Source organism: Homo sapiens, chromosome 21 (genome assembly GCF_000001405.40).
Source record: "Homo sapiens chromosome 21, GRCh38.p14 Primary Assembly".
In the NCBI taxonomy this organism is placed as follows: domain Eukaryota; kingdom Metazoa; phylum Chordata; class Mammalia; order Primates; family Hominidae; genus Homo; species Homo sapiens.
The window spans coordinates 43,565,966-43,588,211 of NC_000021.9; the positions used below are offsets into that span (position 1 = coordinate 43,565,966).

General features: G+C 46.8%; 1 protein-coding gene across 17 annotated transcripts in view, besides 1 other annotated feature; it reads right to left on the bottom strand.

Moving 5' to 3' along the window:
• HSF2BP (heat shock transcription factor 2 binding protein) overlaps positions 1 to 22,246 on the bottom strand; it is a 214,517-nt gene that overhangs the window by 120,994 nt on the left and 71,277 nt on the right. The window lies entirely within an intron of this gene.
• Positions 17,705 to 18,206: an enhancer, noted in NCBI's record as "H3K27ac hESC enhancer chr21:45003551-45004052 (GRCh37/hg19 assembly coordinates)". NCBI's record gives its function as "activates a minimal SCP1, AML or CMV promoter by ChIP-STARR-seq in primed H9 embryonic stem cells {active_cell/tissue: H9 hESC(primed)}" and the evidence as "EXISTENCE:reporter gene assay evidence [ECO:0000049][PMID:30033119]".

Here is a 22,246-nt window from a genome sequence, read left to right on the forward strand (position 1 = left end):
GCTGATAAACAATAACTCTCAAGCACTGCTGGTGGAATATGGGAGTATAAATTTAAAATACTACCCTGGAAAGCAAATTGTTCATTTTTATTCATGTTGAATATGCACATTTACCAAATAATTCCACTTCCATGTAACCAGAAAATGCACAGCTGTATACAGTGCTGTTTTGTAATGAGGAAAAAAAATCAACAGAGAAATGAATAAAGTATTTACTGACAAAAAAAAAAAAAAACAAAACTGAATGCCTTTAACAGCACCCAGGTTATCTCTTGAATTCTTTGCTGCTTAGAAATTTCTTCCACCAGTTACCCTAAATCATCTCTCTCAAGTTCAAAGTTCCACAGACCTCTAAGGCAGGGGCAAAATGCCACCAGTCTCTTTACTAAAACATAACATGACAAGAGTCACCTTTGCTCCAGTTCCCAACAAGTTCTTCATCTCTGTCTGAGACCACCTCAGCCTGGACTTTATTGTCCATATCATTATCAGCATTTTGGTCAAAGCCATTCACCAAGTCTCTAGGAAGTTCCACACTTTCCCTCATTTTCCTCTCTTCTTCTGAGCCCTCCAAACTGTTCCAACATCTGCCTGTAACCCAGTTCCAAAGTCACTTCCACATTTTTGGGTATCTTTTCCGCACAACCCACTCCTGGTACCAATTTACTGTATTAGTCCATTTTCACGCTGCTGATAAAGACATATCCAAGACTGGGAAGAAAAAGAGGTTTAATAGACTTACAGTTCCACATGGGTGGGAAGGCCTCACAATCATGGCAGGAGGTAAGGAGGAGCAAGTCACATCTTACATGAATGGCAGCAGGCAAAGAGAGATCTTGTGCAGGGAAACTCCCATTTTTAAAACCGTCAGACCTCGTGAGACTTATTCACTATCATGAGAACAGCACAGGAAAGATTCATCCCCATGATTCAATAATCTCCCACCGGTTCCCTCCCACAACACATGGGAATTATGGGAGCTACAAGATGAGATATGGGGAGGGGGGGGGGACACAGGGCCAAACCATATCACCAACCAAAACTAATTATCTGATTCTCTAACCAAGGAGAGTTATTGAGCTTTAAACATTAAAACAGATCAGATTCACATTTAATATTGCCATAGGAACCTTTGTATTAAAGTAGCAATTTGAGTACATTTAGTGCTATCATATAAGAACAATACTTTCATAGGTGATGTTTACTTCTGCCCTTTTTATGAGTGACCCTCACCCAAGTGCAGTGGTCTTACTGCTGCCATCTGCAATGAGGGGAACGAGTTCTGGAGGGTTCAATGCCTTGCCCTGTCTTATCTAAAAGGGCTGACAAACAGTGAAACTAACACAAAAAGGCAACATGCCTGTGGAAATTGACAACAATCCTTGACACACAAGCATGGGAAATGGGAGGGCAGGTGTGCTTTCAGCCTGTTCTTGGAGAACATTTAAACTATAAAAAGGGCCTTTGATAAAAACAGATCAATTTCAAGGCAAATCGACAAAAGTACTGACCATAAGATCCGTTAAGTTACAATTAGAACATAATTTGATTGTTAAAATCATATCTATTAAGATATGCTTATGTAAAACAAAAGAATCCCTTCCCTGGAGAAAAATTATCTAGCTAATTCTTAAAAAACAATTTAGAGATTACAAAAAGAATTCCAGCCAAACTTCTCAAAAAAAAAAAAAAAAAAAAAAGAATAGGTAGCTGCCATTGTGTGGAACTAAGGAGAATGAAGAGAACAAGTAATAATAAACTGAAAAGTCCTCCACAGAAGAAAACTTCTCTCCACCAAAATCAAATATTCATCAAGAATCTGCTAAACAAAAAAAAACCATCCAGAAGAAAACTGGTCTCTCCCTCAATAATTCAATATGGCAGAAGAGAGTGTGGGCTGGCAGCTGTTCCTCCCTTGCTGTGAAAACTGCCTATCCCTTCCACAGAGTCCTGCCCTATGACCAACATCTGAAATGGAAACAGCCCAGGAGGTCTCCAGGGCACTACCCTTTCACCAGAGTACCAGAACTCACAGAAACCCAAAGTTTGCTCTCCCCTTCAAGGCACTCAGCTGTGTGTGTGATGAGGTGTTATGTCTTCATCCTCAAAATACTGTCATTGTTCAGAACATTTTTGGAACTCCTCCTAGAATTACCTTCAATCTGTGAGCCACACACAAACATCAGTGTTACCATCTGAGATTCTGACGCCACCTCCCAATCAGGATTCTAAGACTGAGAGTGTCTTAAAAGTCACGTTGGTGGCCAGGTGTGGTGACTCATGCCTGTAATCCCAGCGCTTTGGGAGGCCAGGAGGTCAGGAGTTCGAGACCAGCCTGGCCAACATGCTGAAACCCTGTCTCTACTAAAAATACAAAAAAATTTGCTGGGCATGGTGACACATGCCTATAGTCCTAACTACTCAGGAGGCTGAGGCAGCAGAATCACTTCAACCCAGGAGGTGGAGGTTGCAGTGAGCCGAGATCGCACCACTGCACTCCAGCCTGGGCAACAGAGTGAGACTCCGTCTCAAAAAAATAAATAAAATAAAAAATAAAAGTCATGCTGGCTACTGTGAGCTTCATTTATGAGCCACTAATGATGGTGAAGAGACCAAGTGGCTCCCCCAAGCCCCACTCACACAGCTGGGCCCTCTCACCCGCCCGCCTGTAGGCTTACCTGCCCAGCTCAGTAGCACAGGACAGTCCCCAGCTGCATGTGGAAACACTGTTTCCATTTAGCCCTGGAGGACACTGCATCTTCCCGGCTTTCCTCCGACCTCACCTGGCTGTTCTGTGCTCCCTCATCATCTTCATCTGCACTGAAAATGCTGGCCCCACAGCTTCATCCTCAGCCCTATATCACTCCCTCAGCAATGCAGTCCCCTACCATGGCTACAAATACCTTCTACACTATGATGATTCCCAGCACCAGCTGTTCCTCTGGCCCCGACTCCTAACATTCCCTTCTTATCCTCTCCAGCGACACTGGCCTTTAGTCACTCCTACAATACTCCTTTGCCCATAGCTGCCTCAGACCCTTCCCCTGCCACCCTTGGCCTGTGATGCTCTGCTCAAAGATCTCAGCACAGGCTGTCCTTCGCTTCCTTCAGGTATCCACTCAAATACCCAAAAGAGCAGCTCCGCCCAACACTCTCTAGCCTGCTCCTCATGCCACTCCATTTTTATTTGCATTACTATATGATATATGCCATTATATTTGTTTACTATCAAGTCTCCTCACCTGAATATAAGTTCCATAGGGAAAGAACTCTGTCTTGCTCACTCCTGAGCCTGACAACTATAACAAATGGGGCTGGTCCACTCCCTGCATTCTGACCCACCCGAGTGCTGGGAGCTCAACAACAATGGTAATAAACAGGCCGGCCCACTCCCTGCAGACTAACTCTCATGAGTGTACTCCAAGCTGAAGCGCACCCTCCCACGGCACCATCCCCAGCCAGGGCAGGTTCAGCACGCTGGCTCGGCAGCATTGTCTGAAGAGGGGACACAAAGCTCCCTCACTGTATTCTGTGGAAGACAAAAAAGAAACACAACTGCTCTCTTACCAAGTCCTTACTTTCTTACCTAGTTAGGGATTTTTCTTTTTTTTTCTTTTTTTTTTTTTTTTTTTTGAGACCAAGTCTCCCTCTGTCCCCAGGCTGGAGTGCAGTGGTGTGATCTTGGCTCACTGCAACCTCCACATCCCAGGTTCAAGCGATTCTCCTGCCTCAGCCTCCTGAGTAGCTGGGACTACAGGCGCTCGCCACCACACCCAGCTAATTTTTGTATTTTTAGTAGAGACAGGGTTTCACCATGTTGGCCAGGCTGGTCTCGAACTCCTGACCTCAGGTGATCCACCTGCATCGCCCTCTCAAAGTGCTGGGATTACAAGCATGAGCTACCACACCCAGCAAGGGATTTTACAATGAAACAGTTTCAGAAGGTACAACTATGACTCTATTTGTAATATTCACCATGGGATACAGAAGAAGGAATGATCAGACTTGAGGACGTGAAATCTGGAAAGGCCCTCTGGAAGGTGGTTTCAAGCTGGATTTTGAAGGTATAGGAACATAAAGTATCTACCCATTTAAATGATTATGAGATGGAGTCATAAAACTTTATATAGTAGGCTATTTTATATTTCTGACTTTTTTCTTTCCAAAAAGATGCTATTCCCTCAACCTTCACAGTAAATTACAACTCCCTTATAATGGAATGTAACATCTTGGCTTCTTCCATTAGCTCATCTGTTTCTCAATTACACTCTGGCAACAGATTCCTCACTTCTCTCTTTCCAAAATCGCTTCTCAACTTTTTCAACATGATACTGTAGACAACAGATCACACACAGAGGAGAAGTGGAAAAGGTGTTACTTGGCCCAGCCAGGAATTTGCTCCTTTTCTAAAATATACTTGCATGGCAGATGGGTCAGCTCTGATACATATGCAGAGCCTGAATCACAACCAGATTAGTCCCACTTCCACACATGTCAAAATACATTAAAATAAGCAGATGTCAGTAACCATAACAGAAATACCACTGGCAAACAGAATTCTCAGAATTCCTCATCTATTAAAATGAAGGCAACACATAATTTTTACGTTTCAAATTAAACGTAGGTTTAATTTATAAATTCGGCATGGCACAGGAGAAAACACACAAGCTGAGGTAGAGGGTTTATAGTCAGGGGCCAGGATATGAATGCCAAATGGGGTACTGCCTAACTGACTGGCCTTGGCAAGTAAATCTTTCACATTCTCTGAGCCTGTTTCCTTGTCAATATAATACAAAGTACATCCATCTCAAAGAGTTTTATACAGCACATTGTATAATACATGTAAAACAAGTACAAATGTAATAATAACTATTAGGGCTCTCATTGGCTACTCTGCTTCCTTTGGCCATGCAGATTATCACATACTTATGGCCTGAAAGAATTACCTTTTCAAGAATTACCTTTTGGTTTGGTTTTCTGGGAAGTTCAGTTTATGGAGAATACGTTTTAAATATTAGAGTTTGTGTCAGCAAATATGTTTTTGTTTATTGTGATAACACAATGTGGGACAAAGCAATACTTACGTCCCTTACTTTAAATATATGTACATATGCCATTAGTCATGTATACTGAATTATTTGTGTATATTTAAAACAAAGACATATAAGCATTCTCTTCATCGCAAATTAGATCAGAAATCCTCCAGAGGTACCCAGATACAAATGCTGTCCCCACAAAGTCCACGAAGCCTCTCCCCTCCACAGCACTCTGTGGAAGCCCCTCTGCTTTGACTCACTCCTGGACAGCCCCTCCGCCCTCTGTCCACGCAGCTTTGCCCTGACACTGTGTCATTTCACTCCTACCTGCTGCCACTGCATACCTCGTGGGGCCCTCCCTCCGTGCTTGTCATCCCTAGCCTTCCTTCAATATGGCTTCTAGCACCACAATGCTACTGGTTCTGCTTTCTTCAAGGAGCCCAGACATCTGGACACTGGCTCTCGGGGCCTCTACTCAGTCCTCAGCCTCTTGGTCTTGTTTTCTGCTCCTTTTCCAGGCTCTCCCTTCACCAAGCAACTCCGAACCCCTCAGCAACTCTGCCTTCCCTTTCTATAGGCCAGGGGGAGTGTGCGGCGGCTCAGCCCCTCTATTCACTGCCACCCTCATGCTCTACCCTGAAGATGGAATCAATTCTGCTTCATATCATAGCTCAAAATAGAGCTCTCTCAGATTCACATTTTGAGTCTGTTTCTCTCCTGAAAAGCTCTCACCTTTCTGAGTCCAAACCCAACAAGGCAATGTGAGGAGTGTGAACAGAGGGACACGGTGATGAGGATGCCCAGGGTTGAGGCCAGAGGAGGTCAGATCATGGACCCTGACCAGAGCCCCTTCCGGTTTTCAGTGGGGATGTCAGTGGTGTAATCCGACTGTGAAAGATCAGTCTAACAAAACAGCGGGGAGAGAGAGGGCTGAATCAGAGCGACTAGGTCCAAAGCCGAGGGAACCACCAACAGATCCCCTGGTGACCCAACAAGAAATGCTCACAGTCTGGACCCAATCAGAGTCTGCAGGACACAGCAGACATTCTGGAAGTTACAACAGCCAGGAGCAAGAGGACGCATGGCCTGACTGGACCTCCACAGTGGGAGTGAAGGGAAAGGCCAGGCTTGGGGGAGGAGAGGGGATACCATCAGCCAGGATGTGCAAGAGAGAACACAGGGCGAGCCCCAGGGGAAACACGACATGTCCAGCTCTGGGAGTCACGAGGTGGCTGTGGGAGGTCCATGTGAAGGAAAGGCACAGGCACTGGATGTGCTAGCCCAGCGCTTGGGAGAAAGACTTGGGCTTGAGTTAGATACTTCAGTGCCACTGTAATAAAGAAAGCAGTGACAGTCATAGGTGTAGACGTGACTGCCCGGAGAACATGTAAGCTTGGAGAAGTGGCCTGCTGTGGACAGGACCCTGGGGCAAGACGCACCCTCAGGAAAGCAGGTGAGGGAGAAACAGAGGTGTGAAGTGCAGCAGAGAGGGAGCATGTGAAGTTGCCCACATTTCCTACATCCAGCACAAGCGCACACAGGGAAGGCCCACTACAAAGCCAGTGGACAGAACTCCCTAGGGCTTCAGCAGCAACGCCTCCTCTCCAGCTGCTCCCTGGCACTCAGGTGTCCGAGAGGACAAGGACGAGTGCTGCTGAGCTCTCTCCTCTCTGTTGGAAAACTAACCAATGATGTCTGGCAAAAATGACAGCTGCAGATGCTGCCTTTTCCAACGAGCTGTCTTCAGAGTCAGAGCCCTCTGAAACACACACACATTTTCCTGTATTTGACAGTTTAGCAAAGTGAAAAAGTTCCAATCTTTGGGGCTTAGATGTTCTTGGTATCTTTGACTTTTCTTCTCTATGCTATAAAACTTTTGGATTACACCCAAATCAATTCTACTTTCACAATGCTAAACAATGACAAAACACACTAAGATTGGAGTATAGCAATGAACAGTCATTAAATCTGTGAGAGTGAGAAGTTTCCCTTGTTCTACAACACTAGCGGTGCACCTGGTCCTTACGAGGCTCTAAGTGTTTGGTGAATACATGAATGAGCCCATGAGTGAGTGAATGAAAGAACGTGTGTGTCCCCAGCTGTCCGCTGCCACGGCTCTGCATGGGTAAGCCAAGCATGGTGCTCTGGAATCAGAAAAAGCAGGGTTTGATCCTGGCTCCCCTGTCTACTAGCTCTTTGACCACAGAAGAGCCACCTTTCTAATGCTGCTGCCCAGTGTGACGGGGGGCTGACGCTGCCCACTTCCCATTGCAGCTGTACTGCCGAGCCAGCTGTGTGGTGGGCCCATGGCGGGGTGTTCCATTCACAGAGCTACAGGGACAGCCTAGAGGAGCCCAAGGCTCCCCTTGAGAACTGTCAACAATGCTACCATCTCAGAGTGAAACTAGGAAAACCCACAGACTTAGAATGTACATAATTAGAAATCTTGGAAAATAAATTAGAAATCCAACCAGTAACATATGAAGAGTCCTGAATTACCCAAAACTCTAATCAAAATGACCCTGCTGTAATCTTCAGAAGGCCAGACCAAAACACCTTCGTTCATGTGATAAATGCAGATCAAACACTGCTGCTTCCCCAGCTCTGGGTCACAACTGAGCACAGGGCAATGACCAGGACTTGGTCTCTGCCTTCTCCCTCACAGGGGACAGACAAACTGTGCTGGTGGCGTCCTGGGGGGAAGGCCCTGTGAAATGAAGGGGCACCTGGCAGTCTGGGGGAGGGTGTGGAGGACAGCACAGGAAGGGGTCATCAGTAGAGCTGGCACTGTGCTGGGGGAGGGTGACACCTGGGCATCTCGGGGCTCATCTGCATCCAGCTCCCCACTTCCTTCCACTTTGCTCGATTCCCAACCTTTCGGGGCAACCTCGTGATGAGTAGTTTCGTTTGCTAAGTCGTTGGAAACTAGGAAGAAGTCATCTTGTCTGCATGGGACAAGAGCATCCCAGTCACTAGTGAAGACAGCCTCGAGGCCAAGCCATCGACGGGCTTCTGCTCCATGAGCCTCTGTGAGTGAGCAGGGCCCGAGGCAGCCTTTCATGACCAAGACCACTGTGGCGCTCTCACAGGGGGAGGAGGCCAGACCACAGGCCCAGCAGGATCTCTTACCAGACTGCCAGCATCCTGCCTTCCCCTGGAAAACAGCACAGCTACATCATCTCGCCCTTTCAACCTACAACTATTCAATTTAGCACTTAAATTTGAAACAATAAAAAAATCAGTCAGTTGCCATGCACTGGCTGACTCCTCTGAAGACATCAGCAAATCTACACGTTGGGTGATTATCTTGGGAGCAATGGTTCCTAAACCTTTTTTTGAGTTTCAGCCCTTTTTCTTTTTCTCTTTTTTTTTTTGAGACGGAGTCTCGCTCTGTCGCCCAGGCTGGAATGCAGTGGTGCGATCTCGGATCACCGCAAGCTCCACCTCCCGGGTTCACACCATTCTCCTGCCTCAGCCTCCCAAGTAGCTGGGACTACAGGCACCCGCCACCACGCCTAGCTAATTTTTTATATTTTTAGTAGAGACAGGGTTTCACCATGTTAGCCAGGATGGTCTCGATCTCCTGACCTTGTGATCCGCCCGCCTCGGCCTCCCAAAGTGCTGGGATTACAGGCTTGAGCCACTGCGCCCAGCCCTAAGCACTTTTTCAATTCTGGTAAAAGCTGTGGCCTAGTCCTCCCCGACCCCAACATCCACGACGCACACTGAGACCACAGGGCACACAGGGCCGCCCTCCATGGGGAGCAGCTGTCCTCGAGGCTGATCTTGCTTTTCCTTCCTCTGAGACGGCTTCCTCTCGGCTCAGCCTCCTTGGGACGGGGGTGCCGTCAACCCAGCTGCTTCCTCTTCTCTCCCGATGAAGGGATGGCTCAAAAGTGCCAGCAGCACGAGCCATGGCAGACACACAGCTCAGGGCCTCAGGCTCTGCTTCCTTCCACTCCCAGGCCTGACAGAACCCACAGGGCTCACCGCATGCGCACAGGCAACCAGGGCACAGGAGCAGCAGGGCCTTCCCTCCCCTCCTGCTGCTCACGCAGCTCCTGCTGTGCTTTTCAGGCAGCTCCTTCATGTCTTATTCCCATTTTAAGAAATGGAACTCAAAATGTTTGGACCTCCGGGATTTGGAATTCCTCAAATGTTACAGGATATTTATATCACAGTTCTGATAACAGGTGCACTAAGTCAGCCACAAAAGTTACAGAATATGAAAACACGACGCTCCACTGGGCTGCATGAGCATGCTCGCCTTTCGAGGTGACGCAGCCTCATCCCTTCATGCTGAAAGGGCAATTTATTTTGAAGCCTGCACATCTCCGTGGAAAAATTCATAAACCTGTCACAGAGAATTACACCCGCCACCTAAGCTTTCAGACTCCCTTTAAAAACTTGAGAAGACACTGTAGCTCTTCAATTGCAAGAAGTGGGGAGCTGATACCTAACACTGTGGGACAAACTGCCGGCCTGATTCTTTCCAGAAGGAGAGGATGATAAAAATAACTTACACTTGACTAGCAATTCACCACTTACAAACTACTTTCACACATATTACTGCATTTTTACTTTGGGAGGAAAGTCTTTAGCCCAAAAGAAAATGAAACACACTACTGTTGAGTAATCCTGCCAAATAAATAGGAAGTGCATCTTAACAAACCCAGCTGGACAACAGCGTGAGCTAATGTTAGGATCCCACTATAGACTAAAAAACTCCTAAAGGTAGCTTTCTTCCTATTTATAGTTAAAAGAATAGCCAAGATTAGTGCACACTAAAAGACAGTGGTAAGTGCTAAGGATATTTAAAATATCATTCAAAAGTCGGCCAGGCGCAGTGGCTCATGCCTGTAATCCCAACACTCTGGGAGGCTGGGGCGGGTGGCTCACTGAGGCTAGGAGTTTGAGATCAGCCTGGCCAACATGGCGAAACCCCATCTCTACTGAAAATACAAAAATTAGCTGGGTGTGGTGGCGTGCGCCTGTAGTCCCAGCTACTCAGGAGGCTGAGGCAGGAGAATCCCTTGAACTTGGGAGGCAGAGGTTGCAGTAAGCCAAGATCGCGCAACTGCACGCCAGCCTGGATGACAGAGCAAGATTTTGTCTCCAAAAAAAAAAAAAAAAAAAGTCATTTCCAAATTCTCATATTCAACAGTATGTAATGATATCAATCTCAGATGTGAGGCCATCTTCCTGGGCCAAGACATCAGTGACTTCAATTTCTAAGTGGAAAATAAGTCAATGGTTTCCTATTTGTTTTGTGAGTTCCTAATTGTCTGCAAGCCTTAAACTTGTCTATAAACCATGAATTTAAGTCATTTCCACCTCTTACTAGTCATTACTAGTGGTTACACAGAGCCTCTACACTACTAAGCCTCAGTGTCCCCACATATAAACTATGTCTGGCATAAAGATTACACCAAATCCCATAAGGAAAGGCTCTAGTCCAGCAGCTGTCACATAGTAAATGCACAAGTCAACGTGCTATATTCACGTTTGCTTCCATTGCTGTTCATGACAAAGGCGCCAGTCATGTACAGTCTACACAACACTATATAGAAGGCAACCCTCCACTACCACATCACATTGATGAAAAGCTTGCCTTGGTAACACTAAGCATTTTAAAGGATGACACAGTTATAATCTTCTGTATTCCTACAAATACGCTGCAAAATCTTGAAAAATTAAATTTGTCTAAAGGTCTTAAAACATGCAAAGTGAAGTGAAACATGGCGAATTTCAGTTTTTAAAAACTTTCACTGAACATTATTTGAAGCCAAATTAATGCTTTAGTTATGCTCACAGACATCCTCAATTCCCAATTTCACTTATTATTAATAACAGCTATCATTATTAAAGAAATTATTCAGCTAAACCATGTGAAATTGTCATTTTCATTGGTCTAAAGTGGATAAACACTGGCAATTTCATGTGGTTCAACCTAAGCCTATCACCAGTGCCTGTGCTGGGTACTCTATGTAGGTCAACGAATTTAATTCTCGTAATTGCTCTGAAGTGATGTCAGCGACACCATTCTTCAGGTGGTCAAGGAGCTTGCCCCAAACCCACAGCTGACATGCAGGTTGGCACTCCACCACCCCATCCCTCGACCTCCACTTCTCAACCACATGCAGGGGGCTCTGTTCACCTCTTTATTTGCATTTGGTGTCTTCACATTTTAAGAAAACCAAAGCAAGTAAGTTGGTGCTGGCAGGATATGTTTTTAAGAAAATGAAGATGTTACCTCCAATTATCACGCCTTCTTTATTTCCCTTTATTCTGCATATCAATAAATCTGGAATTGACTTAGGACACTTAGTGACTGTATTACTACAGAAACAGTCAAAATACTTCAACTGGAAGTACAAAATACTTCAGCTAAAAGTACAAAACTTCAGCTCAAAGTGGCTTAAACGTAATCACATTTATTATTTCTTAAAACGAGAAGTCCAGGGCTGGATCCAATGTCTCAATTATGTTATGGAAGGCCTGGGTTATTTTCTCTGCCTGCCCCAACAGCATCAACTGTAAGGCTGGCATTCGGGGCCACAGGCTTCCTCATTCAACTCCAGTGAAGAAGTCTCTCCCCCATCCCTTGGATCTGGATGTAGCTACTCAGGTCATGTGCCCACCTCTGGACTGTCAGGCCTCTGAGCCCAAGCTAAGCCATCATATCCCCTGTGACCTGCACGTATACACCCAGATGGCCTGAAGCAACTGAAGATCCACAAAAGAAGTGAAAATAGCCAGGTCCTGCCTTAGCTGATGACATTCCACCATTGTGATCTGTTCCTGCCCCACCCTAACTGATCAACTGACCTTATGACAATACACCCTCCCTGCCCTTGCGATAATGGACTCTGTGATATTCCCCTGCCCTTAAGAAGGTACTTCATAATATTCTCCCCGCCCTTGAGAATGTACTTTGTGAGATCTACTCCCTGCCCACAAAAAATTGCTTCTAACTCCACCGCCTATCCCAAACCTATAAGAACTAATGATAATCCCACCACCCTTTGCTGACTCCTTTTTTGGACTCGGCCTGCCTGCACCTTGTTGCTCACACAAAGCCTGTTTGGTGGACTCTCTTCACACGAACGTGCGTCACATGGACCATGCACTGTTGGCAGAAGGATGCCCTGCACTGACCACCTTATGCCTTGAGCCCTAAACCCATCACCGGCACACAGTAAGATGGCTAGGGCTGGCTCAGACCATCCATTTTCAACCCTGTCTCACATTAGGATCCTTCAGAGAGACTTACAAATCCTGATGCCTGGGCCCTGCTCCATACTCCTGCCCAATTAATACAATCTCTAGGGATGAGATTCCCTAGAGATGTGTGTGTGTGTGTGCATTCTCTTTTTTTCTCTCTCTCTATGAAACTCCCTTCTCTTTCCCTGAGTCATATGATCCACGAAAGGGAGGATGGAGCCCGGAATAAAGTTGGGGTTCTGTTAGAAATGAAGAAAGGGAAAAAGGGTGCAGAACAAGCCATCCATGGTGTCCATTCTACACAGACACAACCAAATCAATCATGAAGAAAGGCAACATAGGTCCTTCTCCATGCTGCGACGAGCTCGGCACTGTACCACCCTCATCGCTCTCTCATGGATGGCTCTGTGTTGCACAACACACAGGTGATAACCTTAGCATGCTGTCACTGACACAACTATAAGAAAGCCTCTGAAGGGTCCTACAGCCCCACAGAATGTAAGCAGAGGTCTCCTACACAGCCTCCCAGGTTAGATGGGGCTAGGGCGCCTACCCTGTGCTGTTTCTGGGCTGAAGCTGTGTGGCTGTCCAGGGCCATGGCTGTCTGCTCCACCCAGGTCTCTGTGGCCTGGCAGGGCACTCTGGCTTAGGAGGGGCATGAGCCAGAAGAGAAGACTAGTTGTGTACCTTCCAGCCCGGCCAGGACCGCCTCTGGGATGTCAGGACTTTGACAGGGCCCAGGATGTCCAAGTTTTTCTTAACAATTTCAGCACTTACACAAATGGTATATTTGTATCCAAGAAACATAACCCACAAATATTTGACAAATGCTAACTCCCCAATTTTCATCTCCTAAAGGGTTTCTTTTGACATCTGAATAGAAAGGGTTTCCAAGACATTATGTAACTAAGATTGTCATCAGTTGACTGTATGCACAGCTGGGAGGCTTACAAATCATATGGAAGATTTCATTAGCTGCGGTTTTCTAATCTCACAACAACAATCCTAAACACCCAGATCCTTCATCAATGAGTTAATGAAGAACATTCGACGACATCTTTTCTTAAAGAATAATGAAGAATTCATGCAGAGTTATTATAAAAATTATTCCAATATTTGTGGCTTACAGTAAAACAAACAACAAAAATGGAGCAAGCATTATATTTTAGTAGCCTACTTTGATGCCACAGATGCCACCGTCTAAAGATGAACTGCAGGGGACGGTGAACTCCTAGCCCAAGAAAATATGAAGAAAGCCACAGTGTATTTTGAAGTAAAATAGTTAATTCTTGTTCTTATTTTTCATTTTAGACTGAAATCCTGAAAATTAGAATCTGATTACCCTTAATACAGACACACAAAACTCTCCTTTCACCAACAAATCCCCAAAGCAGCATCAACCTTACTACCCGCCCCTCTTTCTTCTCTGCTCATTCCTCCTAAGCCACCCTTGTGCCTGACCCTGTGCTCTATGGGAACCTTTTCAGAGTTCATCAATAACTCTCTGTTGCCAAATGCTTCTCTTCACTCTTGTTTTCTTTGAGTTCCGACTCTAACAGCCATTGTATTCTTCTCAAAGAAATGGTTTCTGTCCCTCTTTTTAAAATGTATAAAGCATTTCCAATTGCTGTTCCACTCAATTCTCACAGCCACCCTGTTCCAAACAGACAGGAACAGTGTTTATATCTCTATTTTGTGGATGACAGAATATCATGGAAGTGAAGGGACTCACCCAGAATCACAAACCAGAATACAGGAGGAGAGGGGCCAGCCTGCTTTCTGATGCCTCGACCTGTCTCCTAGCTCAGGGCTCTCATGAGCCCTACATCCCTCTGCTCAGGCCTCTCGGCCAGCCTCCCCGTGTCATGTTCCCTACACTGCCAGTCTTTCTGTTTGTCACCTTTTTCAGAATGACTCCCAAACCCATGTCACTAGCAAGTTTCTTGTGAACTCTAAGCTTCTTGTCTCCAACTACTTCTTGGACATTTCCATTTGGATTTTTTTTACTATGTCAGACTGACCATGTCACACACCAAATTCATCTTCATGTAAACTCACTCCCCTTTCTCAATGTGCCTATGAGTTAATTGTATCCTGACCAGACTACACTAAAGTTTCTATTGCGCTCAGCTTGTCAGACTGGACATATGCAGGCCAAATGTTTTTTGACATCCTTTGACGTACGAAGTGGCCATTTGACCACTCAATTATATCAACAGTGAAAAATCAAACATTTACATTATGTTTCTTGTTAAAGTTATCATGTAAGCATTGATTAATCAAAGAAAACAGTCCCAGCATTCTCTTGTGGAAAGGCTGACACCTTTGTTCTATTGGACATTCTGAAGGAGAAGTTTCAAGTCAATAATGTTTGAGACATTTTTTAAAAGATAAAAACCACATTTTGTAGTAGCTCACGTTATTAGCCCCGTGTTTACACTAAAAGGCTCAACACTGGGCTAACGCAAAACTATCAAGAGAAACACTTGACCAACATAATAAAACATTCACATGTAAAATTCTTTGTCGGTGAAGATCTTAAATATTTTGCTTTTCTATCAAATGGCCATCCACAGCTCACATAATAAAGAAGTTGCTTACTAGAATCATAACATATACAGTATTCTGACAATGCCACATATTTGGGTTGAAAAGAATTATGAAGACACATCACTGAATATTCACTAGTTACTAAACCCTCTGGCCTTTCTCTGTGTTACGTGATATAGCCAAATGCCAGACACTGAAGGGAATCAGATGCCATATCAGAAGGCAACTGGTGCCATGGAAAAGATGTGGAATCAAAGTTGGGGGAGTGGGCACACTGCCCTCAAGGGAAGGAAGATGATGCTTAAGTTAGCTTAAGAAAGGTAAAAGGCAGCCGGACGCAGTGGTTCACGCCTGTAATCCCAGCACTTTGGGAAGACGAGGCGGGCGGATCACGAGGTCAGGAGATCGAGACCATCCTGGCTAACACGGTGAAACCCTGTCTCTACTAAAAATACGAAAAATTAGCCGGGCGTGGTGGCAGGTGCCTGTAGTCCCAGCTACTTGGGAGGCTGAGGCAGAAGAATGGCGTGAACCTGGGAGGCAGGGCTTGCAGTGAGCCAAGATCACGCCTCTGAACTCCAGCCTGGGTGGCAGAGTGAGACTCTGTCTCAAAAAAAAAAAAAGAAAGAAAAGAAAGAAGGATAAAAGGAGTCACTTATGAAAGATGCTGGGATAACTCAAAATCTGAGGAAAAGCTATACAGCCCACCTGGACAGGGATAAAGCTGACTGCAAGCCATAGGGCTCCTCTGCATCTCAGGTCAGCATTTATGTCTTGGCTTCAGCAACTGACAACACAGATAAATTTTCTCCAGGTGGCCAGGAACACGGCCACAGGCAGCTCTAGAGTCACATCCAATAGTTTCACGGCCCAAGAAAGGCAAAAAAAACACTGTTCTTCAGCAGCTGAAGCCAGAAAACTCCTGGAGAAAGACTATGGCCCAGCTCAGAGCACACACCCACCACTAAAATCACTGCTGTGGCCACAGCCATATAGCTGGCACTGCCAAGTCTCACCTTAGCCAGTGGTCAGAAGGGTCTGTGCTGCGGGAGATGAGGGCCTGCTGAGGGAGATGAGGGCCTGCTGAGGGGCCCTGCTGTGGGGGATGAGGGCCTGCTGTGGGGAATGAGGCCCTGCTGTGGGAGATGAGGGCCTGCCGTGGGGGATGAGGGTCTGCTGTGGGAGATGAGGGCCTGCTGTGGGGGATGAGGGCCTGCTGTGGGAGATGAGTGCCTGCTGTGGGGGATGAGGGCCTGCTGAGGGGCCCTGTTGTGGGGGATGAGGGCCTGCTGTGGGAGATGAGGGCCTGCTGTGGGAGATGAGGGCCTGCTGTGGGGAATGAGGCCCTGCTGTGGGGGATGAGGGCCTGCTGTGGGGAATGAGGCCCTGCTGTGGGGGATGAGGGCCTGCTGTGGGAGATGAGGGCCTGCTGTGGGGGATGAGGGCCTGCTGTGGGGGATGAGGGCCTGCTGAGGGAGATGAGTGCCTGCTGAGGGGGATGAAGGCCTGCTGAGGGGGATGAAGACCTGCTGTGGGAGATAAGGGCCTGTTGCGGGAGATGAGGGCCGGCTGAGGGAGATGAAGACCTGCTGTGGGGGATGAGGGCCTGGTGAGGGGGATGAGGGCCTGCTGCAGGAGATGAGGGCCTGTTGCGGGAGATGAGTACCTGTTGAGGGAGATGAGGGCCGGCTGAGGGAGATGAAGGGCCTGCTGAGGGAGATGAAGGGCCTGCTGAGGGAGATGAAGGGCCTGCTGAGGGAGATGAGGACCTGCTGAGGGAGATGAGGACCTGCTGAGGGAGATGAAGGCCTGCTGAAGGAGATGAAGGCCTGCTGAGGGAGATGAAGGGCCTGCTGAGGGAGATGAAGGGCCTGCTGAGGGAGATGAGGACCTGCTGAGGGAGATGAGGACCTGCTGAGGGAGATGAGGACCTGCTGAGGGAGATGAAGGCCTGCTGAAGGAGATGAAGGCCTGCTGAGGGAGATGAAGGGCCTGCTGAGGGAGATGAAGATCTGCTGTGGGGGATGAGGGCCTGGTGAGGGGGATGAGGGCCTGCTGCGGGAGATGAGTACCTGTTGAGGGAGATGAGGGCCAGCTGAGGGAGATGAAGGGCCTGCTGAGGGAGATGAAGGGCCTGCTGAGGGAGATGAGGACCTGCTGAGGGAGATGAAGGCCTGCTGAGGGAGATGAAGGCCTGCTGAGGGAGATGAGGACCTGCTGAGAGAGATGAAGGGCCTGAGGGAGATGAAGGGCCTGCTGAGGGAGATGAGGACCTGCTGAGGGAGATGAGGACCTGCTGAGGGAGATGAAGGCCTGCTGAAGGAGATGAAGGCCTGCTGAGGGAGATGAAGGGCCTGCTGAGGGAGATGAAGGGCCTGCTGAGGGAGATGAGGACCTGCTGAGGGAGATGAGGACCTGCTGAGGGAGATGAGGACCTGCTGAGGGAGATGAAGGCCTGCTGAAGGAGATGAAGGCCTGCTGAGGGAGATGAAGGGCCTGCTGAGGGAGATGAAGACCTGCTGTGGGGGATGAGGGCCTGGTGAGGGGGATGAGGGCCTGCTGCGGGAGATGAGTACCTGTTGAGGGAGATGAGGGCCAGCTGAGGGAGATGAAGGGCCTGCTGAGGGAGATGAAGGGCCTGCTGAGGGAGATGAGGACCTGCTGAGGGAGATGAAGGCCTGCTGAGGGAGATGAAGGCCTGCTGAGGGAGATGAGGACCTGCTGAGAGAGATGAAGGGCCTGAGGGAGATGAAGGGCCTGCTGAGGGAGATGAGGACCTGCTGAGGGAGATGAAGACCTGCTGAGGGAGATGAGGACCTCCTGAGGGAGATGAAGGGACTGCTGAGGGAGATGAAGACCTGCTGAGGGAGATGAAGGACCTGCTGAGGGAGATGAGGACCTGCTGAGAGAGATGAAGGGCCTGCTGAGGGAGATATGAAAACCTGCTAAGGGAGATGAGGACCTGCCGAGGGAGATGAAGGGCCTGCTGAGGGAGATGAAGGGCCTGCTGAGGGAGATGAGGACCTGCTGAGAGAGATGAAGGGCCTGCTGAGGGAGATGAGGACCTGCCGAAGGAGATGAAGGGCCTGCTGAGGGAGATGAAGACCTGCTGAGGGAGATGAAGACCTGCTGAGGGAGATGAAGGGCCTGCTGAGGGAGATGAAGACCTGCTAAGGGAGATGAGGACCTGCCGAAGGAGATGAAGGGCCTGCTGAGGGAGATGAAGGGCCTGCTGAGGGAGATGAAGACCTGCTAAGGGAGATGAGGACCTGCCGAAGGAGATGAAGGGCCTGCTGAGGGAGATGAAGGGCCTGCTGAGGGAGATGAAGACCTGCTAAGGGGGATAAGGACCTGCCGAAGGAGATGAAGGGCCTGCCGAGGGAGATGAAGGGCCTGCTGAGGGAGATGAGGACCTGCTGAGGGAGATGAAGGGCCTGCTGAGGGACATGAAGACCTGATGAGGGAGATGAGGGAGTCCCAATATCTGCAGTCCATGCACTGGAGACTCTGGACAGCCAATGTGTAGTGCCAGTGTGAAAGCCAGCAGGCTCGAGACCCAAGAGCTGGTGTTTCAGTTTGAGTTCAAAGGCAGGAAAAGGCCCACATCCCAGCTCAAACAGTCAAGGCAGAGATCCCTTTTATTCAGCCTTTTTATTCTGTTGGGGCTCCAACTGACTGGATGAGAGCCACCCAACTGGCTGAAGGCAATCTGCTGTACTCAGTCTCCTGGTTCAAATGTTAATCTTATCCAGAAACATCCTCATAGACATACCCAGAGTTAATGTTTGGCCAAATGTCTGGGCATCTCATGGTCCAATCAAGTTGATATAAAAATTAACTCTCTTAGGGACCACCTAGGTGGCTTGAATAAAAGCTTCAAACCTGCATGAAAACCAGCCTACTAATTCTCAGAAGAGATTTTCCCCCCACTACACTCAATGCCAAAGGTCAAAACAATTTTCCTTAAAAAACTTTCGGATTAAGCGAGTATCTTCAGTTTACCCCGACACTGCTGGGAAAGACCCTTGGGAGTTTCCTCTCAGGATGCTCACCTGAGGTGGGACCGGGGCTTTGTCTCCTATCCCCCACACCCTGGGAGCCATGGAAACTAAAGGACAAGTTTGAAAAATACCCTCAAAGCAAGAAGTTAAGTTCTCTGTTAACCTCTCTGTCCTCCCACTTTCACTTGACTTTCATGCTCTAGGTATAATTTTATTTAATTATTTATTTATTTATTTATTTATTTTGCGGCCAGGAACAGTGGCCCACACCTGTAATCCCAGCACTTTCGGAAGCCAAGGCAGGAAGATCACTTGAGACCAGGAGTTCAAGACCAGCCTGGGCAACATAGTGAAACCTCATCTCTACAAAAAAATGTTGTAAAAACTAGCCAAGTATGGTGGTGCATGCCTGTAGTCCTAGCTACTCAGGAGGCTGGAGCAGGAGGATCCCATGAGCCCAGGAATTCGATTTACAGTCAGCTAGCATCACTCCACTACAGTCCAGCCTAGGTGACACTGCAAGACACTGTATCAAATAAGTAAGTAAAATGTTTTTTTGTGTCTCACTCCGCATTTTGACTGTTCAGTAAGGAGAGGTGGTCAGGGATTTTTCCATCATACCCCTGGCTCCCAGTTCATGGCCTGGAAGGATGGAACATAGGGAGACCTATAGGAAGCTCTCAACCCAAGGTGATGGTGGCTCAAAACTGGGTGGGAAAATTAGCTGGGCGTGGTGATGGGCGCCTGTAATCCCAGCTACTGGGAGGCTGAGACAGGGGAATCGCTTGAACCCAGGAGGCAGAGGGTTGCAATGAGCCAAGACTGTGCCACTGCACTCCAGCCTGGGCAACTGACCAAGACTCTGTCTCAAAAAAAAAAAAAACACCTAGGTGGGAGTGCTAGCTGGTGATCAGATTCTGGAGATGTTTTGAAAGTAGAGCCATCAGGATTTCCTAACAGACTGAATGAGGGCGTAAGAGATTAAAAGGAGTCAAGGAGTCAAGAATCACTCGAAGGTTTTTTAAAAGTCTGAGACACTAGAAAAATAGAATTGTAATCAATAGAAATTAGAATTTGGTGTGAGGGAAGATTAGGGGTTTAGTCTGAACACATTGAATGTGAATGTTTATTAGATGTCCATGTGGAGATATCAAGTAGACAGCTCAATCTATGAGGCTAGAGCTCGGGACAGAGGTCTGGGCTGAAGGCACAAATCTGGAGAACCTGATCAATGCTTTGTGTTACTCAGACAAGCCAAATAGATGTAAGATGGAAATAACCGCCTATCTGCCCTTTTAGCATTGAAAACATGGTAGGAAATGCAGTTTCCTGTGATCACAATACTAGTCTGCATTAACAGTTACGTAACATGTGGCCACCATCTCAATACACTCTGTCCTCGTCGGCTATTTGCTCGAGTTCTATGCCAGTTCTGTGGCTTAAGAGGAATGTGAAGAATGTGGACAAAGCCTGGGAAAAAGCCAGCCATGTAGCTGAACGAAGGGAAGACAAATGAAATCTAGCAAACGTTAAAGGAAATGAGATGATTTAGTCAGGGATGATTAATAGCAACTGGTCTCGTACTCTGAATCAGGGAAGTCTAGATACTTGAAAGTAACCTGCCACCTTTACAGCAAGCAAACAAAAGAAAATGAGTTTTCATTGCAGCATGAGATTTTTTTTTTCATTTCAAGTCTTTTATCCCTAAAGCATGAGATATTTAGACTAGAAATAAAAGAGGAAAACTAGCACCTATTTAACACCTACTACATTAGGTGTTGGCCTAAACACTATTGCATTTTAATATACATTAAGATCCTTGAGGTAGAAATTCTCATTTTATACATCAGAAAAGCAGGATTCTAAAAGGTTAGGTAAGTTCACAAGCAGGAAAGCTGCAATTCAAATCTGGGTTGAATGAGTCCAAAGCTCGTGTACTTATTAAAATACATCAAATTTCTTAACAGAAATTGATAAAAGTAGGAACTGATTACTGAAAGGGATAATGAGATCTTTTTTTTCCTCGATCTTATTTTTTTTTTTAATGAAGTTTCACTCTTGTTGCCCAGACTGAAGTGCAGTGGCACGATCTTGGCTCACTGCAACCTCTGCCTCCTGGGTTCAAACAATTCTCCTTTTCCTCGATCTTTTAAAAATTAGAAGAGCTTCTTATCTGTCCAGTATATTTTCATAAACTAGATCTACCTAAAACCAAAGGAATAGAAGAAGCCAGTTTTCAAATTATCTCTTAGTCCTAAGCAGTTATGATTCTAGATTCTGAAAACAGTCTAAATTCTGAAAACAGTCCCACTACCACCAGCACCACGAACTATTTTTGTTCCTATTTTCCTATTCTATAGTAAACTATATATTCACCTTCTAAAACACATATGAAATTCTATAATTTAAGATTTAAAGTAATCCCATACATAACTCAGGAGTCAAACATCCTAGGCTTAAACAGATCTTGTTTTGTTTGACTTTAGAACAAATGATTCTAAAGATTCTAAAGTAAGATGACCTTGCAATGGATTTATGAGGGGTTGGGCTGTGCTCACTGTGTTGAAAGAACCAGTAATTATTTTCACGGATAAGAAAGCCTGGGATGGCCAGGCACGGTAGCTTACGCCTATAATCCCAGCACTTTGGGAGGCTGAGGCGGGCAGATCACCTGAGGGCGGGAGTTCGAGACCAACCTGACCAACATGGAGAAACCGCATCTCTATTAAAAATACAAAATTAGCCGGGCGTGGTGGTACATGCCTGTAATCCCAGCTACTCAGGAGGCTGAGGCAGGAGAATCGCTTGAAGCCGGGAGGCGGAGGTTGTGGTGAGCAGAGATCACACCATTGCACTCCAACCTGGACAACAAAAGCGAAATTCTGTCTCAAAAAAAAAAAAAAAAAAAAAGGAAAGCCTGGGATGATGTCCCAGAAGCAAAAAAAAATTGCATTAACACAACTTAACAAGCACCTCATATTATCCATAAGCCAAAGCTTAAGCAGGAAAAGTCCACCTGAGTCAAAGAACACACTCTCTGATGAGTGGCAGAAACTTGGGTTGCTTGCTACTGACAGAACTGCATAAATTAAGATGAAACTCATTACAATTTTCACTCACCCCCGGAAACTTCCGGAGGACCAGAGCTAAAAGGGCCATAGAGAACATTTAGGCTAAACTCCTCTTTTTATGAGAAAGTAGGATTACTGGCTGCAAATTAGCCTAAGTAGAGACTGGCATATTGTTTCAGGGCAACTGACCCAGAAGCCAAGCAAAGCCAGACCTAATGTCAACTAAATGTGAGAAGTCATCCAGTACTGGCCCGGCACGGTGGCTCACGCCTGTAATCCCGGCACTCCGAGAGGCCGAGGCGGGTGGATCACCTGAGGTCAGGAGTTTGAGACCAGCCTGGCCAACATGGTGAAACCTTGTCTC